Below are 21,864 nucleotides of genomic sequence, written 5' to 3' on the forward strand. Positions count from 1 at the left end.
AGGAAAGAGGCACCCTTTTTCCATGGGGTGAGGCCAGAGATTTGGGTTAGGGGTGGGGAAGTGAAGGGCATTGTGTGGGGAGTGGGTGCCTGAGAATGAAACCAAACAGGGAGGTCAAGGGAACAGCACAGCCTTGGCTCAATCCACTATGTCAGCCAAGAAACCTGCTGTGCTTAAACCGGATTAGGTTTTCAGTGCTTATAACTAAATGAGCTCTTCATTTGAATACAACTGCTGATGGTCCTCCCATTAGAAAAGAGAACAAAAGGGGCCGGGCGCGGTAGCTCCCACCTGTAATGCCAGCACTTTGGGAGGCCGAGGCAGGTGGATCATGAGGTCCGGAGATCGAGACTATCCTAACATGGTGAAACCCCGTCTCTAATAAAAATACAAAAAATTAGCCAGGCGTGGTGGCAGGCACCTGTAGTCCCAGCCACTCGGGAGGCTGAGGGAGGAGAATGGTGTGAACCCAGGAGGCAGAGCTTGCAGTGAGCTGAGATAGCGCCACTGCACTCCAGCCTGGGTGACAGAACGAGACTCCGAGATTCCGTCTCAAAAAAAAAAAAAGAAAAGAGAACAAAAGGGAGGAACAAGCCCTGTGCCACTGAGTGACATTACCATGGTGGCAACTTTGAAGGGTCCCCGTTTCATGCCTTTCTCTTTTCTCCTCCAAGAGCATTCGCCACCCAGGCAATACTCCTTTGAGAGGCAGCCTGTGAATCCCAACAACCAGGGAGCGCGCCACTTTCTTCCCCACCCGCCCCCTTGCGTCATGAAGTCCGATGGTGGAGCAGAGGGCTGTGAGTTTTAGACTTTTCATTCCATAGACCAGAAAATTGCTGAAATTAGTAGACATTTGAAGTGGCTCTTCCTCAAGCCCAGAAAAGATTTCTGCTGTTGCTATGTTTAAAAGCCCAGCAGCAAGTTGTTTTGGCTTGTGTCTTATTGTTATATAATAAACATGATAAGCTCTGTAAGCTCTGAACATTGGTTGCAAGGATGAAAATAGAGGCCTCACAATAATATGAGCCCTGGAGATGCTTTGTAGAGGGCGGGGGGAAGATAATAGTTTTCTGTGAGTGTTCAAATAGCAATGTGTGTAGTAGATTCTAAATTGCTATGTAAATTCCCAAAGGAAACAGTAGGGGAAAAAAGAAGAAGGTTATAGATTAAAAGGAACAGGTTATATATTAATGCGAGGGAAAAATGTAATCAACAACCACATGAGAGCTATTTTTAATAAGACGGGACCCAGGAGAGGTGGACTGATCTATTGTAGAAAGGAGATAAGCTTTCTACGCTATGTAACAAATTACTATAAACCTAGCGGCTTAATGAAACACAAATTTGTGATCACCTAGGAGCTCAGAGCAGTCCCCAGTAACAGCCAGCAAGAAAGTGAGGCAGAAGTGCAGGTGTGGTGTGGCTGCGTTCTCTGCGTAGGGTCTCATAAGATTGGCATCAAAAATTTAGTTGCTTGTGGTTGTAGGACTGAGTTGCCCACCTCCTGCTGGCTGTTACTGGGGACTGCTCTGAGCTCCTGGAGGCCTCTCCTATTTTCTCATCCTGTAGCCCTCTTATAATGTAGCTATTGGTTCCTTCAAGAAAAATCCCTCTCATGCTTCCAATCTCTCTGACTTCTTTGATCTCTAACCTCTACACCCTCTTTTAAAGAGTTCACTTGATTAGGCCAGGCCCACCCACTCAAGGGATGGGGATTACACAGGTTGTGCACACTGGGTGAGGGAATCTTGGGGGTCACTTTAGAATTCTATTACAGCGATCAAACTTTTGTGCCAAAGCAGGGACCCAAAATGTGTAATTTTAATGCACTACATTATGGACTGAATGTTTGTGCCTTGCCTCACCCCAATTCATTTGTTGAAGTCCTAACTCCCAATGTGATGGTATTTGGAGGTGGGCCCTTTGGGAAGTAATTCGGTTTAGATGAGGTCATGAGGATGGGCCCCCATGATGGGATTAGTGTCTTATAAGAAAAGGAACAGAGACCACATACTCTTTCTCTCTCTTTCTCTCTGCCATGTGAGGAACACAGTGAGAAGGCAATCATCTGTAAAGCAGGAAGAGAGCCTTCCCCAGGAGTTGAATCTGCCAGCATCTTGATCTTGGACTTCCCAGCCTCCAGAACCACCAGAGAGAAATGCCTGTTGTCTGAACCACCGTATGTTACCCTGTTACAGCAGCCTGAGCTAAGATGATACTGGAGGCCCAGTTAATCTACCTCAACATGACCCTTTTGTAACACAGGCTGGACAAAGGCTGTGAAAACACTCAGTATCTAGAGTTTTCCAATGTGTGTGTCCTTCCCTATACACTTCATTTGCTTATCCCCTTATTCATTCAACAAAGGAGTTCCTTTTCTTTTCTTTTCTTTCCTTCCTTCCTTCCTTTCTTTCTTTTGACAGGGTTTCACCATGTTGGCCAGGCTGAGCTTAACTCCTGACCCCAAGTGATCCACCTGCCAAGGCCTCCCAAAGTGCTGGGATTACAGGCGTGAGCCACTGTGCCTGGCCAAGGAGCTCTTATTGTCATCTCTGCACTGTGCTTGACCCCAGAGCCAGGACTAGGCTGGGGCCAATGAGGCATTGAGCAGACAAAGTTTAAGGAGAAACTCACTTGCACAACCCTGAGAGTGAGTGCCACCTGGCATTGTCTGCCCTCCACCCCCTCCTGGCCCTTCCAGGCACAGAGGAAACAAAGATTTTTTTTTAAGCCACTTTCTTCCTCAAGACACCCACAGGTTAAGAGGTCAGAAACAGGGCATACCACACTGGCCTTTGGCACCTCAATTGCTCACTTCACAAGAGCACAAAATGTCCCCTAAGAAGAGCAGCTGAGTATAATGGAAAAAGTTAAGTGTCCTCTTCTGACCTTTGATGATTCAAAAGTTTAGAGTCATTTTTAACACTATTCAAAGGAAATGTGACACTCATATAAACTTGATGCTACATGTCATTGAATCACAGCTCTAAAGAAACCTACAGGCCGGGTGCGGTGGCTCACACCTGTAATCCCCGCACTTTGGGAGGCCGAGGCAGGTGGATCACGAGGTCAAGAGATCGACATGGTGAAACCCCCTCTCTACTAAAAATACAAAAAATTAGCCGGGCATGGTGGTGGGCACCTGTAGTCCCAGCTACTTGGGAGGCTGAGGCAGGAGAATCATTTGAACCCGAGAGGTGGAGGTTGCAGTGAGCCAAGACTGTGCCACTGTACTCCAGCCTGTGTGACAGAGCGAGACTCTGTCTCAAAAAAAAAAAAAAAAGAAAAAAAAAAGAAACCTTCACCACCTGTTGCTCTATTGAAATGTTTGTACAGTTTTCTCACATTCCATGAAACATTCCATGTTTCCCAGGCACAAGGTAACTGCCTCTTTCACCCATTTTTTTCCCTCTCTTTCTGTTTTTGGTTTGTTTTTTGTTGTTGTTGTTGTTTGGTTTTTTTTGAGACAAGATCTCACTCTGTCACCCAGGCTGGAGTGCAATAGTGCAATCTCAGCTCACTGCAGCCTCAGCCTCCGGGGGTCAATCGATTCTCCCACCTCAGCCTCCCAAGTAGCCGGGACAACAGGCATGCACAACCATGCCCAGCTAATTTTGTTATCGGAAAGGGGTCCCAATCCAGACCCCAAGAGAGGGTTCCTGGATCTCATACAAGAAAGAATTCAAGGCAAATCCATAGAGGAAAGTGAAAGCCAGTTTACTAAGGGAGTAAAAGAATGGCTACTCCATAGGCAGAAAAGCCCCAAGAGCTGCTGGCTGCCCATTTTTATGGTTATTTCTTGATGATATGCTAAACAAGGGGTGGATTATTCATGCCTCCCCTTTTTAGGCCATATAGGGTAACTTCCTGATGTTGCCATGGCATTTGTAAACTGTCATGGTGCTGGTGGGAGTGTAGCAGTGAGGACGACCAGAGGTCACTCTCATCACCATCTTGGTTTTGGTGGGTTTTAGCTGGCTTCTTTACTGCAAACTGTTTTATCAGCAAGGTCTTTGTGACCTGTATCTTGTTCTGACCTCTATCTCATCCTGTGATTTAGAAGGTCTAACTGTCTGGGAATGCAGCCCAGTAGGTCTCAGCCTTATTTTACACAGCCCCTATTCAAGATGGAGTTGCTCTAGTTCAACTGCCTCTGACAATTTTATTTTTTGTAGATACAAGGTCTCACTATGTTGCCCAGGCTGGTCTCGAACTCCTAGACTCAAGTGATTCTCCTGCCTTGGCCTCCCAAAGTGCTGGGATTACAGGCATGAGTCACCGCACTCAGCCTCTCTCTGTCTTTATTTACCATTTTAGTCAGCTGGAGCACTTGTTAAAAGACTCTTATAAATCTCTTTTTCCTCTGACTTCCATTCATAATACAGAGCTGAGCCGCTCACCATCCCATAGGTTGTCCAGAATGTCTCTTCCCTGGCTTCCACTGCCTCTGTTGAGTGTCCATGGGGTCCTGTGGATCCTGTGGTGCAAAGGCTGAGACCTCAGCCCTAAAGCAGAGCCCAGAACAGGAGACCACCACCAAGGCCTCTTGCTTGGATTTTTGGTTTCTTTTGGTGAAAACTTCACTCACTGTTCTCACTCACCCTGCCAGTGGGAAAATAAACCCATACGAAAATGGTCTTGGGACTGGGAGCCCTGCTAAACCCTTGTTCAGGTTAAACTCCCTTAAGTAACAGAGAACAGACCTGACTGAGCTTGATCTCCTAGGATATTTCTCTGTGCTGAGAGCCTAACCAGGAAAAACGTTAAACAGATCACTTAGCTGATGGCAAATATATGTGACCAATTCTCAGCCTCAGCCACAGAAGGGACTTGATGGGTGGGACCTTGGCACCACCCCTTCCCCCACTGCCCCCACTGCCTTGGTCTAAATCTGCATCTCGTAGAATTCTTTGCACAACAGCAGACCTATTGTGAGGACTTTCCTTCTCCCTAACCCCATCCCCCTATCAAGTAAGATGTTTACTTCCAGTACTAGAAGGGGGCGGGCATGCAGGCAGAAATAGAAGGAATTCTAACCATAGCTAACCAAAGTCAGATTTCCAGGCCACTCCACTCACCGGGGTCTGCTTTAACCTCTGGGAACAAAGTAAACAAAAAGCTGGATTGTTGCATCCTGCTCTGAAGGTTAAAGTTTTGATTCAAGGTTAAAGTTTTGATATCTTCTGTGCCTCACAGCCTTTTGTTTCACTCTGATGCTATTATTTACTCATCCTTTTGCACAGGAGGTCACTTTGCATAGACGAGAAGAACTTGAGGCTGAGCCTCTACCTATGGTCTGTTGGAACCTAAGGAAGCCAGTTCATTTCTCCCAATCTCAATGCCCTCATCTGTAAAAGTAGGGAAATTATACTGGGCTTGCTGGGTTGGTTTGTGTGTGTATGTGTGAACTATAAATACTTGAAAACGACTACCCCTTTCAGAAAGGGTTACTATTGCTATTACTGTTATCTGTGCCTTTATGTATGTATAACTGATCTGTCTCCTCTACTAGGCTATGCATTTGAGAGCAAGAATTGTGTCTGTATTGCTAACAGCAATTCCAGCGCCTAACAAAGAGGAGGTGCTGTGGAGGCCAAAGCAACTCCAACTTGGATGCTAATCCATCACTTTAACTTCTGATTAACCCTTGTTCTAGGAAGTCCTCTAAGATTTCCAGTTTATTTGATGTTTCTTGTGTGAGAGTAGGTACCTACTGTAAATCCTGCCCTGAGGTCAAAACAACCTTGATGTTATAGGACTTCAATTGTTCTACACAAACATTCTGAATCACATATACCCTTTCCCAGTATTATATAAGCCCTGGTCATGAGAATAAATGGTGCAGGATCCACCATCTTGCCTCACTGCTGCCTGAGACACAGACATGGCTTCTGTTTGTAAGTCCCTATTAAGTGTATATTTCTGAGGAACTGGATATGTCAGCCTTTTTCTTCAGCCTCTCAGCTTCCTTGGATTTTTGGGGGTAGGTTTGCTGAGGCCTGGCCCCCATGGAACAGGTGCTCCATCAAGGAGTAAGTGCTGAGCATTTAGATTCAGGTGAGGGGCAGCAGCCACCAGGAAAGAAGAGTCTATGCATAATTACCTGCCCTACTTCCTGAGTCAGGGGTTCTCAAATTCTTTGTGTTCAGGACACATTTGAAGAGCCGGCACATTCAGACAACAGTGACTCAGCAATCATTGCAACTTAATCCCTACTACTGAAGAACAACATCTCATAATGTCTACAAAAGCAACCACTATGACCCCACCATTTACTGGGATGCGCTTCAGCACTACAGTTAGAAGGTGGAACGCTGACTGCCCGAATGTCCTTCCTCTAATATACACAAGAAGATTTCTCACCTGTCTAGTTAACCACTATATTTCTTGGTCCCTGGCTTGACAACATACCTCTTACCTCCTCACAGCACTACATAGTGTGTTGGCATGCAGTCATGTTTCAGGCAGGCACTTCAAATTTGCCCTTGGAATTCCAGGATTTTGCTTTTGCAGTTTCTAATTGTCAACAATCCTGAAGGCCCTTGACATGTGGTCATTTGTAATTTTGCTGAGATGTAATTTTTTTTTTTTTTTTGAGACAGAGTCTCGCTCTGTCGTCCAGGCTGGAGTGCAGTGGCATGATCTCAGCTCACTGCAATCTCCGCCTCCCGGGTTCAAGCAATTCTCCTGCCTCAGCCTCCTGAGTAGCTGAGATTACAGGCACATGCCACCACGCCCAGCTAATTTTTGTATTTTTAGTACAGATGAGGTTTCACCATGTTGGTAAGGCTGGTCTCGAACTCCTAACATCATGATCCACCCACCTTGGCCTCCCAAAGTGCTGGGATTACAAGCATGAGCCACTGTACCCGGCCTGAGATGTCAATTTTTAAAAATTAGTTTATAAGTAATACATAAGTATATGTATATTCCAAAATGTCTATACAATAAAAAAATATGGAAGAAAACCTGTGGAAGTTTTCCTTATTGGTACCAGTCACAGTAGGCCATGTTATACTACAGTAATAAATGTCTCCAAACCTCAGTAACTTTATTCATTTATTTATTTATTTGTCCTGTATTGCGCAGGCTGGTCTTAAACTTCTGGCCTTAATCAATCCTCCTACCTCAGCCTCCCAAAGTGCTGCGATTACAGGTGTGAGATTTTTTTCTTGTTCGCACTACATGTTTTTCTATTTTTATTTTTCTTTTTAAAAATTATTTATTTATTTATTTTGAGACAGCGTCTGGCTCTTTCGCCTAAGCTGGAGTGCAGTGGAGCGATCTTGGCTCACTGCAAACTCTGCCTCTTGGGTTCAAGCAATTCTCCTACCTCAGCATCCCGAGTAGCTGGGATTACAGGTGCACACCACCACGCCCAGCAAATTTTTGTATTTTAGTAGAGACAGGGTTTCACCATGTTGGCAGGGCTGATCTCAAACTCCTGACCTCAGGTGACCTGCCTACCTCTGCCTCCCAAAGTGCTGGGATTACAGGCATTAGCCACTGCACCCAGCCTTTATTAATTTTTTATTTTTTATTTGAGATGGAGTCTTGTTCTATTGCTCAGGCTGGAGTGCAGTGGCACAATCTCAGCTCACTGCAACCTCCGCCTCCCAGGTTCAAGCGATCCTCCCACCTCAGCCTCACAAGTAGCTGGGGTTACAGGCACGTGCCACCATACCTAGCTAATTTTTGTACTTTTAGTAGATACAGGGTTTCACCATGTTGGCCAGGCTGGTCTCAAACTCCTGACCTCAAGTGATCTGCCCACCTTGGCCTCCTACAGTGCTGGGATTACAGGCCTGAGCCACGGCGCCTGGCCATGCATGTTTTTCATGAGTCCACCACAGCTCTGCTTTTTACCATCTTGACTCCAGAACCAAAACTGATGGAAGAACCTAACCTCTATCTGAAATATCACCAATCTCGTGGCAGAAGGAAAAAGACAAGGCAAAGGGTGCCTTAACTTCTAAAACTTTGCACAAAAATGACCAACATCAGTTATTGGCCAAAGCAAGTAATATGGTCATTCCTGAGGTCAACAGTGTGGGAAAATAGACTCCTGCAGAGAGGGGCACTGCAGGGCAAGAAACTGGAATATTTGGTAACGGAGAATACCATCGTCCAGCACCTCCTCCAACAACTACTTCTCTCCCAGAAGCAACTGTTCTAGACAGTTCAGTGTGCATCCTTTCAGTCTCCTTTCCTATATATTTGCTGACATATCTCTACAGGCGTACACATAAATGTCGAATTTTGCACGTATTTTTCTGCAACTTGCTCTGTTCACTTAATATGCTTTGGAGACCTTTCATCTCAGTATGCATAAGTCTACCTGACTCTCTCTAACAATAGCATGGTGTTTCATACCATAATATATTTAAATTCTTGGTATACATTTTGGATCTTTTCAATATGTTTTGATATTACAAATAATGCTGCAATATGTATTCATAAAGATGCACATATCTTTGTGAATATATGTATTTTGGAATGATAGGTTTCTAGAAATAAGTTGTTAAAGTATGTATGCATTGCAGTTTTTAATAGATACTAGCAATTTGCCTTGAAAAATGCCTTCATCAATGTTCACAGCCACTAGAAAAATAAAAGTGCCTGATTTCCCAAATCTTCAACAACTCAATATTATCAATTTTTTTCTCTTCTGTAAATCTGATGGATTTTAAGAGGGTAATTCATTGTTTGAATATACTTAATATGTCACTTCTCGGCCTTTTGGCTAAGATCAAGTGAATATACTTAATGTATTTTTTTGCTTACAGTGAGGTTGAGTACTGTTCATATTTATTGGTTAATTTCACAATTTCACAATTTTTTTTCTCTTGTGAATTGTCTGTTTCCATTCTTTACCCATTTCCTAGTGATTTTAAATCTTTTTGTTTCATCTTTTTCTTTTAGATTTGAACAAATCACTTTATGTATTTTCTCAATATTAACCTGTCTATATTACCATTTGTGAATACAAACATGTCTCCATTACATCAGAAATCCATCTCTAAACACCAGAAACTGAATGAAAATACTAATGAGGATTCCATTTCCTATCAATATAACACTGCCAGTCAATTTCCTAAAACACCGGAATATGTCAATGTATTTAACAAATTATTTAGTACATAAGATGCATACAACATTGCTTCCTTTAAATCTTTTTAGAGAAAGGATCTTACTCTGATGCCCGGGCTGGAGTACAGTGGCATGATCATAATTCACTGCAGCCTGTAAATCCTGAGCTCAAGCAATCCTCCCACCTCAGCCTCCTGAGTAGCTGGGACTACAGGTGAGTGCCACCGCACCCAGCTAAGTTTCTAATTTTTGGTAGAAAGAGAGTCTTGCTATATTGACCAGGCTGGTCTCAAACTTCTGGCCTCAAGCAATCCTCCTGCCTTGACCTTCCTAAGTGCTGGGATTAGGCGTGAGCCACCCCACCTCACAAAACATTGTTTCCTGATCACCAAACAGTTCACGTGACTTTTAACAGACATTTGCTTGTGTGTAGCCATCAACATCCTACTCACATCCCTTTGTTAACACTTGGCACTTTTCAAAACATCTGCATGTGATTCTGACATCCTTCCAATTATAATTGGAAAGTAACTGGAAAATTCTTCCCCTTTCCCTCCCACACAACCTACTTTGTTTAAAAATATTATCTTGAGTTTGGGGAATGTACAAATAAAATGTTCTATATAAACATTGGTTCAAAAAATACTGTATTGGAGAGATATGTACATTTTATGAGGTCTGAGTGTTGAAGATAAGAGGAGTTCTACTGAGAAAAGAATACCTGGGGAGGCTGCTTGTCAGGTATACTCAAAAAGGTTTACTTTCAGCCTAGCCATTTTGGATTTTTGTTTGTTTGTTTGTTTTTTGAGACAGTCTCACTCTGTTGCCCAGGGTGTAGGGCAGTGGCACAAATTCAGCTCACTGCAACCTCCGCCTCCCAGGTTCAAATGATTCTCCTGCCTCACCCTCCCGAGTAGCTGGGATTACAGGTGCCTGCCACCATGCCCAGCTAATCTTTGTATTTTTAGTAGAGATGGGGTTTCTTCATGTTTGTCAGGCTGGTCTTGAAGTCCTGACCTCAGGTGATCCGTCCACCGCAGCCTCCGAAAGTGCTGGGATTATAAGCATGAGCCACTGCACCACACCCATTTTGTTTTCAATTTTGTTCATGGTATCTTTTTAGATGCAAAATTTGCCACTTTATGTAAACAAACTGTCAGTTATTTTGTTTAAGGTTTCTGGATTTAAATCTCGTTTTAGGAGATTTTCCCCATCTCAGGATGTTTTTTTCAAATTCTGTTAAATATATTTTAAAGTTGTTAGTTTTGCTTTATGCTCAGCTCTTTGGTCATAAGGAATTAATTGTTAAGTAAGGTATGAGGTGGAGTGGGGCAATCTAACTTTTCTCTGTCCCCAAACAAGTAGCATATCAATCCAATGCTATCTATTGAATATTTTATTCTGTCTCCAGTTGGTTTGAAATGCCAATATCTTAGCCCATTTTGTGCTGCTATTGCAGAATTCCTGAGATTGGGTGATTTATAATAAACAGAAATTCATTGGCTCACAGTTCTGGAGGCTGTGAAGTCCAGGATCAAGGCACTGGCAGCTGGTGAGGGCCTTCTTGCTTGTCATTGTATGGCGGAAGTGGAAGGTCAAGAGCGCAAGAGAGCGAACCCACTCCCACCAGCCCTTTCTTAAGGGCATGAATCTGTTCATGAGGATGGATTCCTCATGACCTAAACACTTCCCATTAGCCCCTACCTCCCAATACTATCACATTGGGAATTAAGTTTCCAAAATATGAATTCTGGGAGACACATTCAAACTGTAGCATTGTGTAACTTACATTCTTGAGGTTTAAAAAAATGTATTCAGTATAATAAAGCATCAAATTTTATAGTGAAGCTAGGATACAAAAATGGAGTCTTAGGGAGAATGAGATTAATTATCAGCATTCATGTATCAACACCAACATTCTCTGCTCGTTGTGGTTGTCACAAAGGTAAAACTTCTTGTATGTGACAAACTAATCTGATAGGAAGACAACCGCTAATGATGCATGTCAAGGGATCTAAGAAAGTGAGATGCTATTACAAATAACTGGAGTCCTGTAGGAATAGAATTATTATTATTATTATTATTAATTATTATTTTGAGAAAGAGTCTTGCTCTGTCGCCCAGGCTGGGAGTGCAGTGGTGTGATCTCAGCTCACTGCAACCTCCACCTCCTCAGTTAAAGCGATTGTCATGTCTCAGCCTCTGGAGTAGCTGGGATTACAAGCATAGTACAACACGCCTGGCTAATTTTTGTCATTTTTTTTAGAGACGGTGTTTCACCATGTTGGCCAGGCTGGTCTCAAACTCCTAGCCTCAAGTGGTGTGTCCACCTTGGCCTCCCAAAGTGCTGGGATTACAGGTGTGAGCCACTGCGCCCAGCCAGAATAGAATTATTAAAGATTCAAAGAGATCATTTTATTTTTCAGTTATTCTTTACTATGTTTTACTTTGGGCCTTTGTAGGTTTGATGATGTTCAAGAATTCTATGATTCAAGGCCAGGCATGGTGGCTCATGCCAGCACTTTGGGAGGCCAAGGTAGGAGGACTGCTTGAGGATAAAAGTTCAAGACCAGCCTGGGCAACATAGCAAGACCCCGTCTCTACAAAAAATTTTTAAAATTTTAAAAATAAGAAATAAAAAAATTCTAGGATTTAGTAGTTCTGGGTAAGTCCCCCAAAACATTCAGGTTCTGTTGTTTTGTGAGCTTTCCTGGTCCCAGAAATTCACCTGCAACTGATACCACCTTGGCCCACACACTTTGTGAAAGGGAAGACTGCCCTCTCTACTTCCATTTTCTTCTCTTCCCCTCAGTCATTCCTCATCCCACAGCGGTGACTGCTAGGGACTGCTTCCATCTGACTGCTTCTTCCCCACGCCTCAGAAATGCCTCATCCAGGAAAGTCTAGTAAGAGAAGTTTGAAGATGCTGGACTGGAGCTAGAGGGTTGGGGAAGGGGTCAAATGATGGCTGACATTATTTGGTGATGTCTTGAGCCCACTGTGTCCCAAGGAGATGGACTGAAAATCAGGTAAATTAGCAGATGAATTGGCAATTACCCCCAAAAGAGAGATAAACAGAGTTGAACAGAGTGCAGCAGGAAAGGATAGTGGCTCAGATGTCTCTCTCCTCTCATCTTCTCTCTTTCTCTGTGTGTGCGCACACACACATGCACAGGCTCCTTTGTGTCTCAAGACAAACAGCTTCATCCGCACCCTGAGGGAAGACTGGATGGCAGCATAAAACGAGAGGGGCAGCCGGGGCTGAGGAGGCAACAGTGCCAGCTGTGTGAGCAATTTGGAGAATGGCGTGGCCAGGAAAGGGTATTGATGACTGCCAATCTGGGCTGTGGACCTCCTGGAAATGGGCTGCCCTCCAGCCATCCAGCAGGTTCCTTCTCATTGTTTTAGGGGACTTTTACATCTGGAGGGCTCCACCTCTGGAGCCCAAACCCTCTGTGTCCCTGCCAGAGCTTCTCAAACTCTTCCTACTGAGCCACTCCCAGCAACCAGAAGCCTCAACTCCTAACTTTGGAGAGGACAAGGCCCTGTCAGTCCCACCCTAGGCAAATGTGATGTTTCTCTGCTGTCTTCAGCTTTATCTTTAAAACTGAAGCACAGTTGGTGTTCTACGTCATGTTTCTGTGTTTGTTTTGATATTTTTCAAAATGTGTTTTCAATGTCATGCCTAGCTCTTCCTCTCCCTCCCCATTAGATCCCATTATAAAACCCAGCACTGCTCTGTGCTTCATGGTGCTCATTTCAACTGTAATTAATTCCTGTTTGCCAGTTGTTTACATGCTGTCTTTCCCACTAGAGTGTAAGCTTCAGGAAGCCAGTGGCCATGCCTGTCTGGGTCGTCACCTCTGCATTCCCAGTGCCTTGCCAGAGCCTGGCCCCAGCTGTAGCTTTTGACTTTTGTGGTTACAGCCCTCTTATAAGAAGGCTGATGTGAGAATTTCAGGCCTCATGAAGGTCATGTGACTGTGCCTCCTTTCATAAGCAGAAAGGCCTGGGTCCACAGCCTGACAAATGGGCTATTGTTCATGAAGAGTTCAGGTGAGAGGTGAAATCCATCACTGCTCCAGGCCAGCCCTATCGCAACTCCTTGCACCCTCCCAGTGACCCGGTGACTGGGGAGACAATGACATCACCTCAGAATACATAAACAAAAGACACCCTGTTCTTCAAAGCTCTCCAAGGAGAATTACATTTTTTAGCCCATTCTTGCTGTAATATATGCATAAATATCATCTCTCAGAGTTTCCTAGATTCAGTTCAAGGACATAGATGATTTGGTAGGTATTTGACTTATAGAAGTTTTCTGAAGTCAGAGAATAAATTGAAACATGTTTTGCTGAGAGTAGGAAAACAACTCAATTTGGAAGAAGAGCTGATTTCTCAGGTAAGTAATTGTAAGTTATATCAACCCCTCTCACCTTTGGGTCTAGTTTTCTCATCTCCTACACAAACCTTTGGTGACAACTTTCATCCTTATCATTCTTTTTTTTTTTTTTTTTTTTTTTTTTTGAGACAGGGTCTTGCTGTGTTGCCCAGGCTGGTCTTGAACTCCTGGGCTCAAACCATCCTCCTGCCTCAGCCTCCCAAAGTGCTGGGATTACAAGTGTAAGCCAACACGTCTGGCTTCATCCTATAATTCTTAATATCCACAGAACACTATTCAGAAAATTCATTGGTTAAAAAAATGTCAATTCCTCAAAACAGCAAAGTACTATCTCCAAGTTCCATGTAAAGTGTGTGATTAAACACTTTAGTCAGAGCATTTAAAGAAAGTGCTAAAGAAAGGTAGTAAGAAACCTGAATTGTGGAATAGTTATTATCGTAACTGCTTGCATTTATTGAGTGTTTATTATGTGCAAGATATTAGGCTGAGTTATTTGCATGGTTTAGCTCATTAAATCCTCATAGCACACATGTGAGGTGTTGTATTAGTCTGTTCTCATGCTGCTAAGAAAGCCATATTACTGGGTAATTTATAAAGGAGAGAGGTTTAACTAGCTCACAGTTCCACATGGCTGGGGAGGCCTCAAAATCATGGCGGAAGACAAAGGAAGAGCACGGCGGCAGGCAAAAGAGCTTGCGTAGGGGAACTCCTCTTTATAAAACCATCAGATCCCATGAGACTTATTCACTGTCACAAGAACAGCACAGGAAAGACCCGAACCCATGATTCCATCATCTCCCACCGGGTCCCTCCCACGATGTGGGAATTGTGGGAGCTACAACTCAAGATGAGATTTGGGTGGGGCCAAATCTCATATTAGGGAGAATTATTATTCCCATTTCACAGATGAAGAAATGGATACTTGGAGAGCCCATGTAACTTACTCTAGATCCTGTGCCTTATGGGGCACAGAGCCAGAGCTCTGATGCTGATTTACATTATTCTGTGGTCCAGGCTGTTAACCACTGGCCATGAAAAAGCAGCAAATGAATATTTGTATTTGAGAAAGAAAGAAACTTCTGTCACTCCAAGTACAAGTGCTGGTTAGCTTGTGTTGCCCAATTCAGGGCCTAACAGACTTCTTTCAACTAACAAATTTATAAAATCCTTTGTAAATGGCCTATTTATTTATTTATTTTGAGACAGGGTCTCACTCTGTCACCCAGGCTGGAGGGCAGTGGTTCGATGATGGCTCACTGCAGTTTCGACCTCCTGGGCTCAAACCATTCTCCTGCCTCAGTCTCCCGAGTAACTGGGACTACAGGTGCACCACTACATCTACCTAATTTTTTGATTTTTTTGTAAAGACAGGATATCACTATGTTGCCCAGGCTGGTCTCAAACTTCTGAGCTCAAGGATCCTCCCACCTTGGCCTCCTAAAGTGCTAGGATTACAGGCATTACCCACCATGCCCAGACTATTGACTCATTTTTTTTAGGTGAGTGAAAATATGTTGTTCTCTTAAAAATGTTAACCTGATGGCAGTAGCAGGCCATCTGGAGCATCTGCTGCCATCGCGTCGGCCGTGGCAGCAGGGACGCAGGCAGTGGCAGCAGGAACGGCAGTGGCAGCAGTGGGACCCCTGTGCCCCACGTCCCTGAGGCAGCCAACTGCATCGTGCCCACCCTGGCGTGGCTAGGTGAGACCCACTTCCAGGCCCAGAGCCTCTACCGCCCTGGACCCTGGCCCCGTGTCGCTGCTCTTGCTCGCAGCCACTGCAAGGAGGGCACAAGGAGGAAGTGGGCAGTCCCCAGAGCCTGCCCCTGGGAGCCCCCTGGAGGCCACCGCCCGAGGGGCCACTATGATGGAGCGGGCTGAGCTGCCCACTGGTGGGGGAGCAGTGCGGTTGGGCATGGAGGAGCAGGCAGAGAGTGTCCCAGTGAGGACCTGGAGGCCCCGGCCAAGGCTACAAGGAGGCGTGGCTGGGGCTGCACACTCCACAGACCCAGTGGGAGCTGGGGACAAGCAGGAACCCCAACCCTTCCGAGTTGGTGGGGTGGAAGCTCCCCGGGTGCAGCCTGAAGCCACCCTGCCGTGGCTACAGACCCAGGCATCTGTGCACTCCTGGGGGCCCAGGAAGGCCCCCTGCTACCCGCCCCCATCTCACCCCCGTCAGAAATGCCTGCTTGCGCTGCCTGGCTTCCTCCCACTGTTGGTGCCTGCTCTGATCTCTGAGCAAAGTCGAGGCCAAGCCCTGGGCTGTCACAGCCCAGATGAGTGTGCACACAGTGGGGGCAGTGCTGACATGCCTGACACGCCAGCCCCCTGGCACCTCGGCCCCCTCTGGACTTTAGGTACCAACAAGCACTGGAGGGAGGCTGAGGGGGGCTGAGGACAGTCTGGCACTGGTCTGCAGGCGCCCCCTGGCATGAACAGCTTGGGCGCCATGAATAGTGGTAGAAGGCAGACAGACTCCTGGGCAGAAGGGGGCTGGTCCCCAGTGAGTGAAGCCCCACCTTCAAACTGGGGAGGGCCTGAAGCCTGAGGGCTATGCCACCAGTCCCCAAAGACTGCAGGGGGAACTTATGGTGCTTTTCCCTGGGCCCGCCCATGGCCACCCATGAACCAATCAGCACACACTTCCTCCCCGGTAAGGCCCATACAAGCCTCAGATTCAGATTCAGCCAGACTCCAGCAGAGGAAGAAAGATGATGGGGAGATGACACGCCGACCAGCTGCAGAGAGGAACTACCCTCTCTGCTGACAGCTGGACACTTATCAGGAGACCTGCCTGCAGAGAGGAGCTACCCTCTCTGCTGAGAGCTGAAGAGAAGATGGGCCAACCAGCTGCAGAGAAGAGAGGAGCTACCTTCTCTACCGAACACGGAACACTCCTTGGGACGACCTGCCCAGCAGAGAGGAGCTACCCTCCCTGCTGAGAGCTGAACACTCATCGGGACACCCTGGCTATGCAGAGGAGCTGCACACTCCAGGTCTACTGTGAGCTGTTCTATTGTTCAGTAAAGCTCCTCTTCGTCTTGCTCACGCTCCACTTGTCTGTGTACCTCATTCCTCCTGGACACAGGACGATAATCTGAGACCTGCCAAATGGCGGGGCTAAAAGAGCTGTAATACAGACAGGGCTGAAACACGCCACTTGCTCGCCATTTTGTGAGTGACAAGGACGAGAGAAGTGAGAAGGAGAGAAGGAGAGGAGCTGCAGCTCTTTGGGAAACCTAGACCTGGGAGCTCCCCAAGCCAGGGCTGTGACTACCCCTTTGGGGCTCTGAGGTTCCTGGAGTCTCCAAGCTTCTGGGCACCACTGTGTTCCCTGGTGCCAGCCGTGGAAGCTGCTTGTGGTGCAGCTGGCCCAGCAGCAGCCTCGCAGAGAGCCGACGCCTGTGCCAGCACCTGCAGCTGCCCGCCCCACGGCAGCAGTCAGTGTATCTGACTGTGCACAGTGGCTGGACCCCACACTTGCTCACACACCCCTCACTGCTCCACACCTGACTCGCAGTCTCCCTCGAGGCGTGGGATCCAGGCTGGTAGCATGAGCCGAGCACAGCCTGCCAGGCTGAGGGGGTGGAATGAGCCCAGCAGACCCGAGCAAAACTCACACAGAGGCACCACTGGCCACAGAGTTTTCCGGCCAGAAAAGCGACACCCCAAAGTTCTCATAACAAAATATTGCCTCTCCCATCCAACCCAACTGGAATTTGCTAGTCTGAATATTTGGGTCATCCCAAATTATACGTTGAAATCCTAACCCCCAAGGTGAGGGCATCAGGAGGTGGCGCTCTGGCAGGTGAAGAAGTCCTGAGGCAAAGCCCTCGTAAATGGGATTAGTGCCGTCATAAAAGAGACCTCAGAGCCTTCTCACCCTTTCTGCCATGCAAGGATACAGCGAGAGGACAGCCATCTATGAACGGAAAGCGGGTGCTCCCCAGATATCAAATGTGCCTGCACCTTGATCTTGGACTTCCTAGCCTCTGAACTGTAAGAAATAAATTTTTGTTGTTTATAAGCCACCCAATCTATGGTATTTTGTTGTAGTAGATGGACTAAGACAGAACCTAACACATAAAGATTTCACATGTGAGTCCAGCCCATTTCTAAATTCCAGCAAAATCCAAATGTCTGCTTGACCAGACATTAAACAAAAAGTTCTGACTAGCAGTGCTCTTTTGGATGCTGGTGCTGACATTCAAGTTCAAGTTCTTTCTCTTACAGCAGAAGCCCTGGAGTTTCTTTTAGTCACCTAAGTTGGTTGGAGTTTTGTGGTTGTTTCATTCTGTATTTATGGGTACTCATTACAAGCCTGTCATCTTAGAACAGAGACTCACCTGGTGCAGCCCTCATCCTGCAGCCATTGGCTTTCCTGGTCTAACCTGGTCCACAACCATCTCTACTTCGAAATGCATTTTTAGTTCCCTTTAGTTCAGCACAAGAGGGATAGGTTGTGCGCTGTCCAATTGGACTACCTGTCCAGTGTTGTGAGACTCTAAATGGCATGGGGAGAGACTATACAGAAATATGAATAACAGGCCGGGTGTGGTGGCTCACTCCTGTAATCCCAGCACTTTGGGAGGCCAAGGCGGGTGGATCACTTGAGGTCAGGAGTTCGAGACCAGCCTGGCCAACATGGTGAAACCCCGTCTCTACTAAAAATATAAAAATTAGCCTGATGTGGTGGCACGTGCTTGTAACCCCAGCTACTCAGGAGGCTGAGACAGGAGAATCGATTGAACCCAGGAGGTGGAGGTTGCAGTGAGCTGAGATCGTTCCACTGTACTCCAGCCTGGGTGAAAGAGCAAGACTCCATCTCAAAAAAAAAAAAAAAAAAAAAAAAGAAATATGAGTAACAGCTGACATTCACCGCTTCTAGCCAGGCACTGTGCTGGGTGTTCTGCATGCATTATCTCAGAGGAGGAAACTGAGGCTTAAAGTGGATTAATAACTTGCCCTCAGTCACATAGCTAGTAGATTGAGATCTGGGTTGACTGCAGGTCTGACTGACTTCACTGTTTGAGCTTTTATTCCTATTCTTTACTGCCCTTTCAGTGAGTGCCAGGAAATCTGGAGATAAGGGCTGTAGTAGCCCAGGAGGTTTCGGTGGAGGAAGGAGAAGTTGAATTGGATGTCAAGGATTGTGTTAGAAAGACAATTTGGATTGTACCAGGGATGGGGTAGGACAGAAAAACAAGCAGAGCAGGCTCCCTTGCTTTTGTTGTCTCCATAGAACAGTAGAAAAGGTGAATTAGACCATTTTGTGGTTGACATTACCAATTAATTTTAAATTCAATGCCTGCTTTGTCGTTGAGCTTAATCTTAATTATAGCAGATCTCTTCGCATTTCTTTTCTTTGTGCAGATTGCACAGGCAGGGGTTTTAAGTGTATCAAAGAGCGTCTGCACTGAGAGAAATTATTTATGTTGCATTAAAATAATTGGCCTAATTCTCTGAACCAACAAGTAAAATCTAATTCCTGTCTTAAAGGTAAAGAGTAATGTAATATGGAAAGAAAAACATTCACTTAGCTATCTCTCTTTTATTACTAGTACATGGTATAATGTCCAGGAAACAGCTAAGATCAGCATATGTAGCTTGAGCTTTGCATAGAGGTAGTGTCCTTGACTCATGGCTTAATGCACATAAGTGTGCAAGATATTTCAATAACACGGAGGTAACAGTCTGAGAAACACATTTGAACTTAAATATTCTGCACATGACATCAGGATACACCACTGTCTTTTTTTATTCCACTTTGTGCCTTTGTACCATCTCACTATGAAAGTGCTTCTTATAAAATATTATTTCTGGCCAGGCACAGTGGCTCACACCTGTAATCCTAGCACTCTGGGAGGCCGAGGCGGGTGGATCACTTGAGGCCAGGAGTTCGAAACCAGCCTGGCCAACATGGTGAAACCCTGTCTCTACTAAAAATACAAAAAAAAATAGCCAAGCGTGGTGGTGGACATCTGTAATCCCAGCTACTAGGGACACTGAGGCAGGAGAATCGTTTGAGCCTGGGAGGCAGAGGCTGCAGTGAGCCGAGATCATGCCACTGCACTCCAGCCTGGGCGACAGAGCGAGACTCCATCTTAAAATATATATATATATATATATATATATAAAATATAAATATATATATAATATATAAAATATATAATATACAATATATAAAATATATAATATATGATATATAATATATTATATAAAATATATATTAATATAAAATATATAAGTATATATTATATATAAAATTATATATTATAGTATATTATTATATATAAAATTATATATTATAGTATATTATTATATATAAAATAATGTATATAGAAATTATATATTACATATATATGTGTGTATATATATATATATATATAATTTCTGAAAGAGCTGGACTTTGTTTCCAAGTCATTTAGTTTCTCCCAGGTTGTGGAATCTGTGTCCTTGGCTTTAAATCACATTCACAGTTTCAATCCTCTTGTCTTTTTTGCAGAAAGTAATTTTTCCAGAGACATATTTTAATCCATGTAAGGGTGAAATTACTTCACTTTTTTTTTTTTAGCATCTTCAAAAAAACTTTTTCTATTTCAGAAAAAAACTGAAGTGACTTCCTCCTCTGTATATATGGGCAACCCAGTCTCTCTGTCCCTTTATAAAAATAGGCATCATTTCTGGCAGTCATGTAGTTTGTGTGGGACCAGGCCAACTTCAGCTCCAGCAGGCAGCCCTGATTGGTCAAGGCCACAATTGGGTAATCGAACCCGCATGTCCACAGGATTTGGTTCAGGGATGAGCCAATCAGCACAAAGCTTTGAGCTGCTGTTGGCTGATTGTGGGAAACATACTTCCCTGTTGCATGGGAACAATGAAGCGTGTAAGCCTGATTGCAGCCAGCTCTTCTACAATCACCAGGAAATTAGCCCTAGGAGGCAAACAACATTTGTATAAAAGAGAAGAGACGCGGAAAGAAATTGAGTCCTCACGTCATTGTAGCAATCAGTGTAGTCCACCGTACCAATGGACTCCCAGTTAGCTACTAAATCCCTTATTGTTGATGAGTTTCAATTGGGTGTTCTGTTACTTAAAGCCAAAAGCATTTTATCTGATGCACCCCACTACTGGGAAGTTGAGCTAAACACACAATACTACACCTCAAAATACAGTTTATCCAGTCTGAATGTCTAACAATAGGGTATTAGGTAATTTAAATTGCATATATTGATGGTATATTAGGATGGACTAGGCTGTTGTAATAATAGAAACTTAACTTTCATTCACATACTAATCTGAAGCAAGCGATCCTGATCAGCAGATGGCTCTGTTCCATATGATTCCATTGGTTTTTCAGAAACCCAGGCTTCTTCCGCCTTTTGGCTCCCACATCCCCTAAGGCCTTGTTATCACCCTCATTAAGCTGGCAGAAAGGGAAGAAGCCGGAAGGGGCACACCCCTGCTTCTTAAAAACCTTGGCCCAGAAATGGTACAAACCATATTCACTCTACCTTGGCTAAAACTCAGCCACACAGCCACATCTAACTATAAAAGATCCCAGGAGGAAAAAGTGGACTTTGGATAATTAACTGCAGACAGGATGCTTTAGAAGCTTATTAAATCACAGGGGGAAATGCTAATAGAGCAGTGTCTACAGTACCCTCCCAGCATTTTTTTTTTTCTTTTTGATACGGAGTCTTGCTCTGCCACCCAGGCTGGAGTGCAGTGGCATGATCTCGGCTCACTGCAGCCTCCGCCTCCCAGGTTCAAGCAATTCTCCTGCTCAGCCTCTCAACTAATTACAGGTGTGAGCCACCATGCCCAGCTAATTTTTTATTTTTAGCTGAGATGGGGTTTCACCATGTTGGCCAGGCTGGTCTCCAACTCCCGACCTTAGGTGATCCGCCCACCTTGGCCTCCCAAAGTGCTGGGATTACAGGCGTGAGCCACCCTGCCTGGTCCCTCCCAAGCATTTTGTTTTGTTTTGTTTGTGTGTGTGTGTGTGAGACAGAGTCTCTCTCTGTCACCCAGGCTGGAGTGCGGTGATGCAATATCTCAGCTCACTGCAACCTCTGTGTCCTGGGTTCAAGTGACTCTCCTGTCTCAGCCTCCTGAGTAGCTGGGATTACAGGTGTGTGCCACCATGCCCGGCTAATTTTTGTATTTTGGGCAGAGATGGAATTTCACCATGTTGGCCAGGCTGGTCTCAAACTCCTGACCTCAAGTGATCCGCCCGCCTCGGCCTCCCAAAGTGCTGGGATTACAGGCGTGAGCCACCATGCCTGGCCCCCCTCACAAGCTTTCTAAAGGCCCCTATCTATAAGCACATGAGCTCTATCTCTTTCTGCTTCAGCCCTGAGACGAGCCT

The 21,864-nt window shown here is 45.1% G+C and overlaps 1 protein-coding gene across 1 annotated transcript, besides 1 other annotated feature; it reads right to left on the reverse strand.

Annotated features, from left to right (window-relative positions):
- Positions 1-559: 559 nt before the first annotated feature.
- Positions 560-12,474, reverse strand: LOC105370706 (uncharacterized; the record flags this gene model as incomplete). Its single annotated transcript, XM_011537452.3, has 2 exons — positions 12,307-12,474; positions 560-1,117 (listed from the first exon to the last, which is right to left on the reverse strand). Coding segments are annotated over exons 1-2 (726 nt in total), but the record flags the coding sequence as incomplete, so codon positions are not given.
- Positions 12,975-13,269: a silencer, noted in NCBI's record as "tiled region #2320; K562 Repressive non-DNase unmatched - State 23:Low". NCBI's record gives its function as "represses a minimal TATA promoter and a strong SV40 promoter by Sharpr-MPRA in K562 cells {active_cell/tissue: K562}" and the evidence as "EXISTENCE:reporter gene assay evidence [ECO:0000049][PMID:27701403]".

This window comes from Homo sapiens, chromosome 14 (assembly GCF_000001405.40).
Source record: "Homo sapiens chromosome 14, GRCh38.p14 Primary Assembly".
NCBI classification, from domain to species: domain Eukaryota; kingdom Metazoa; phylum Chordata; class Mammalia; order Primates; family Hominidae; genus Homo; species Homo sapiens.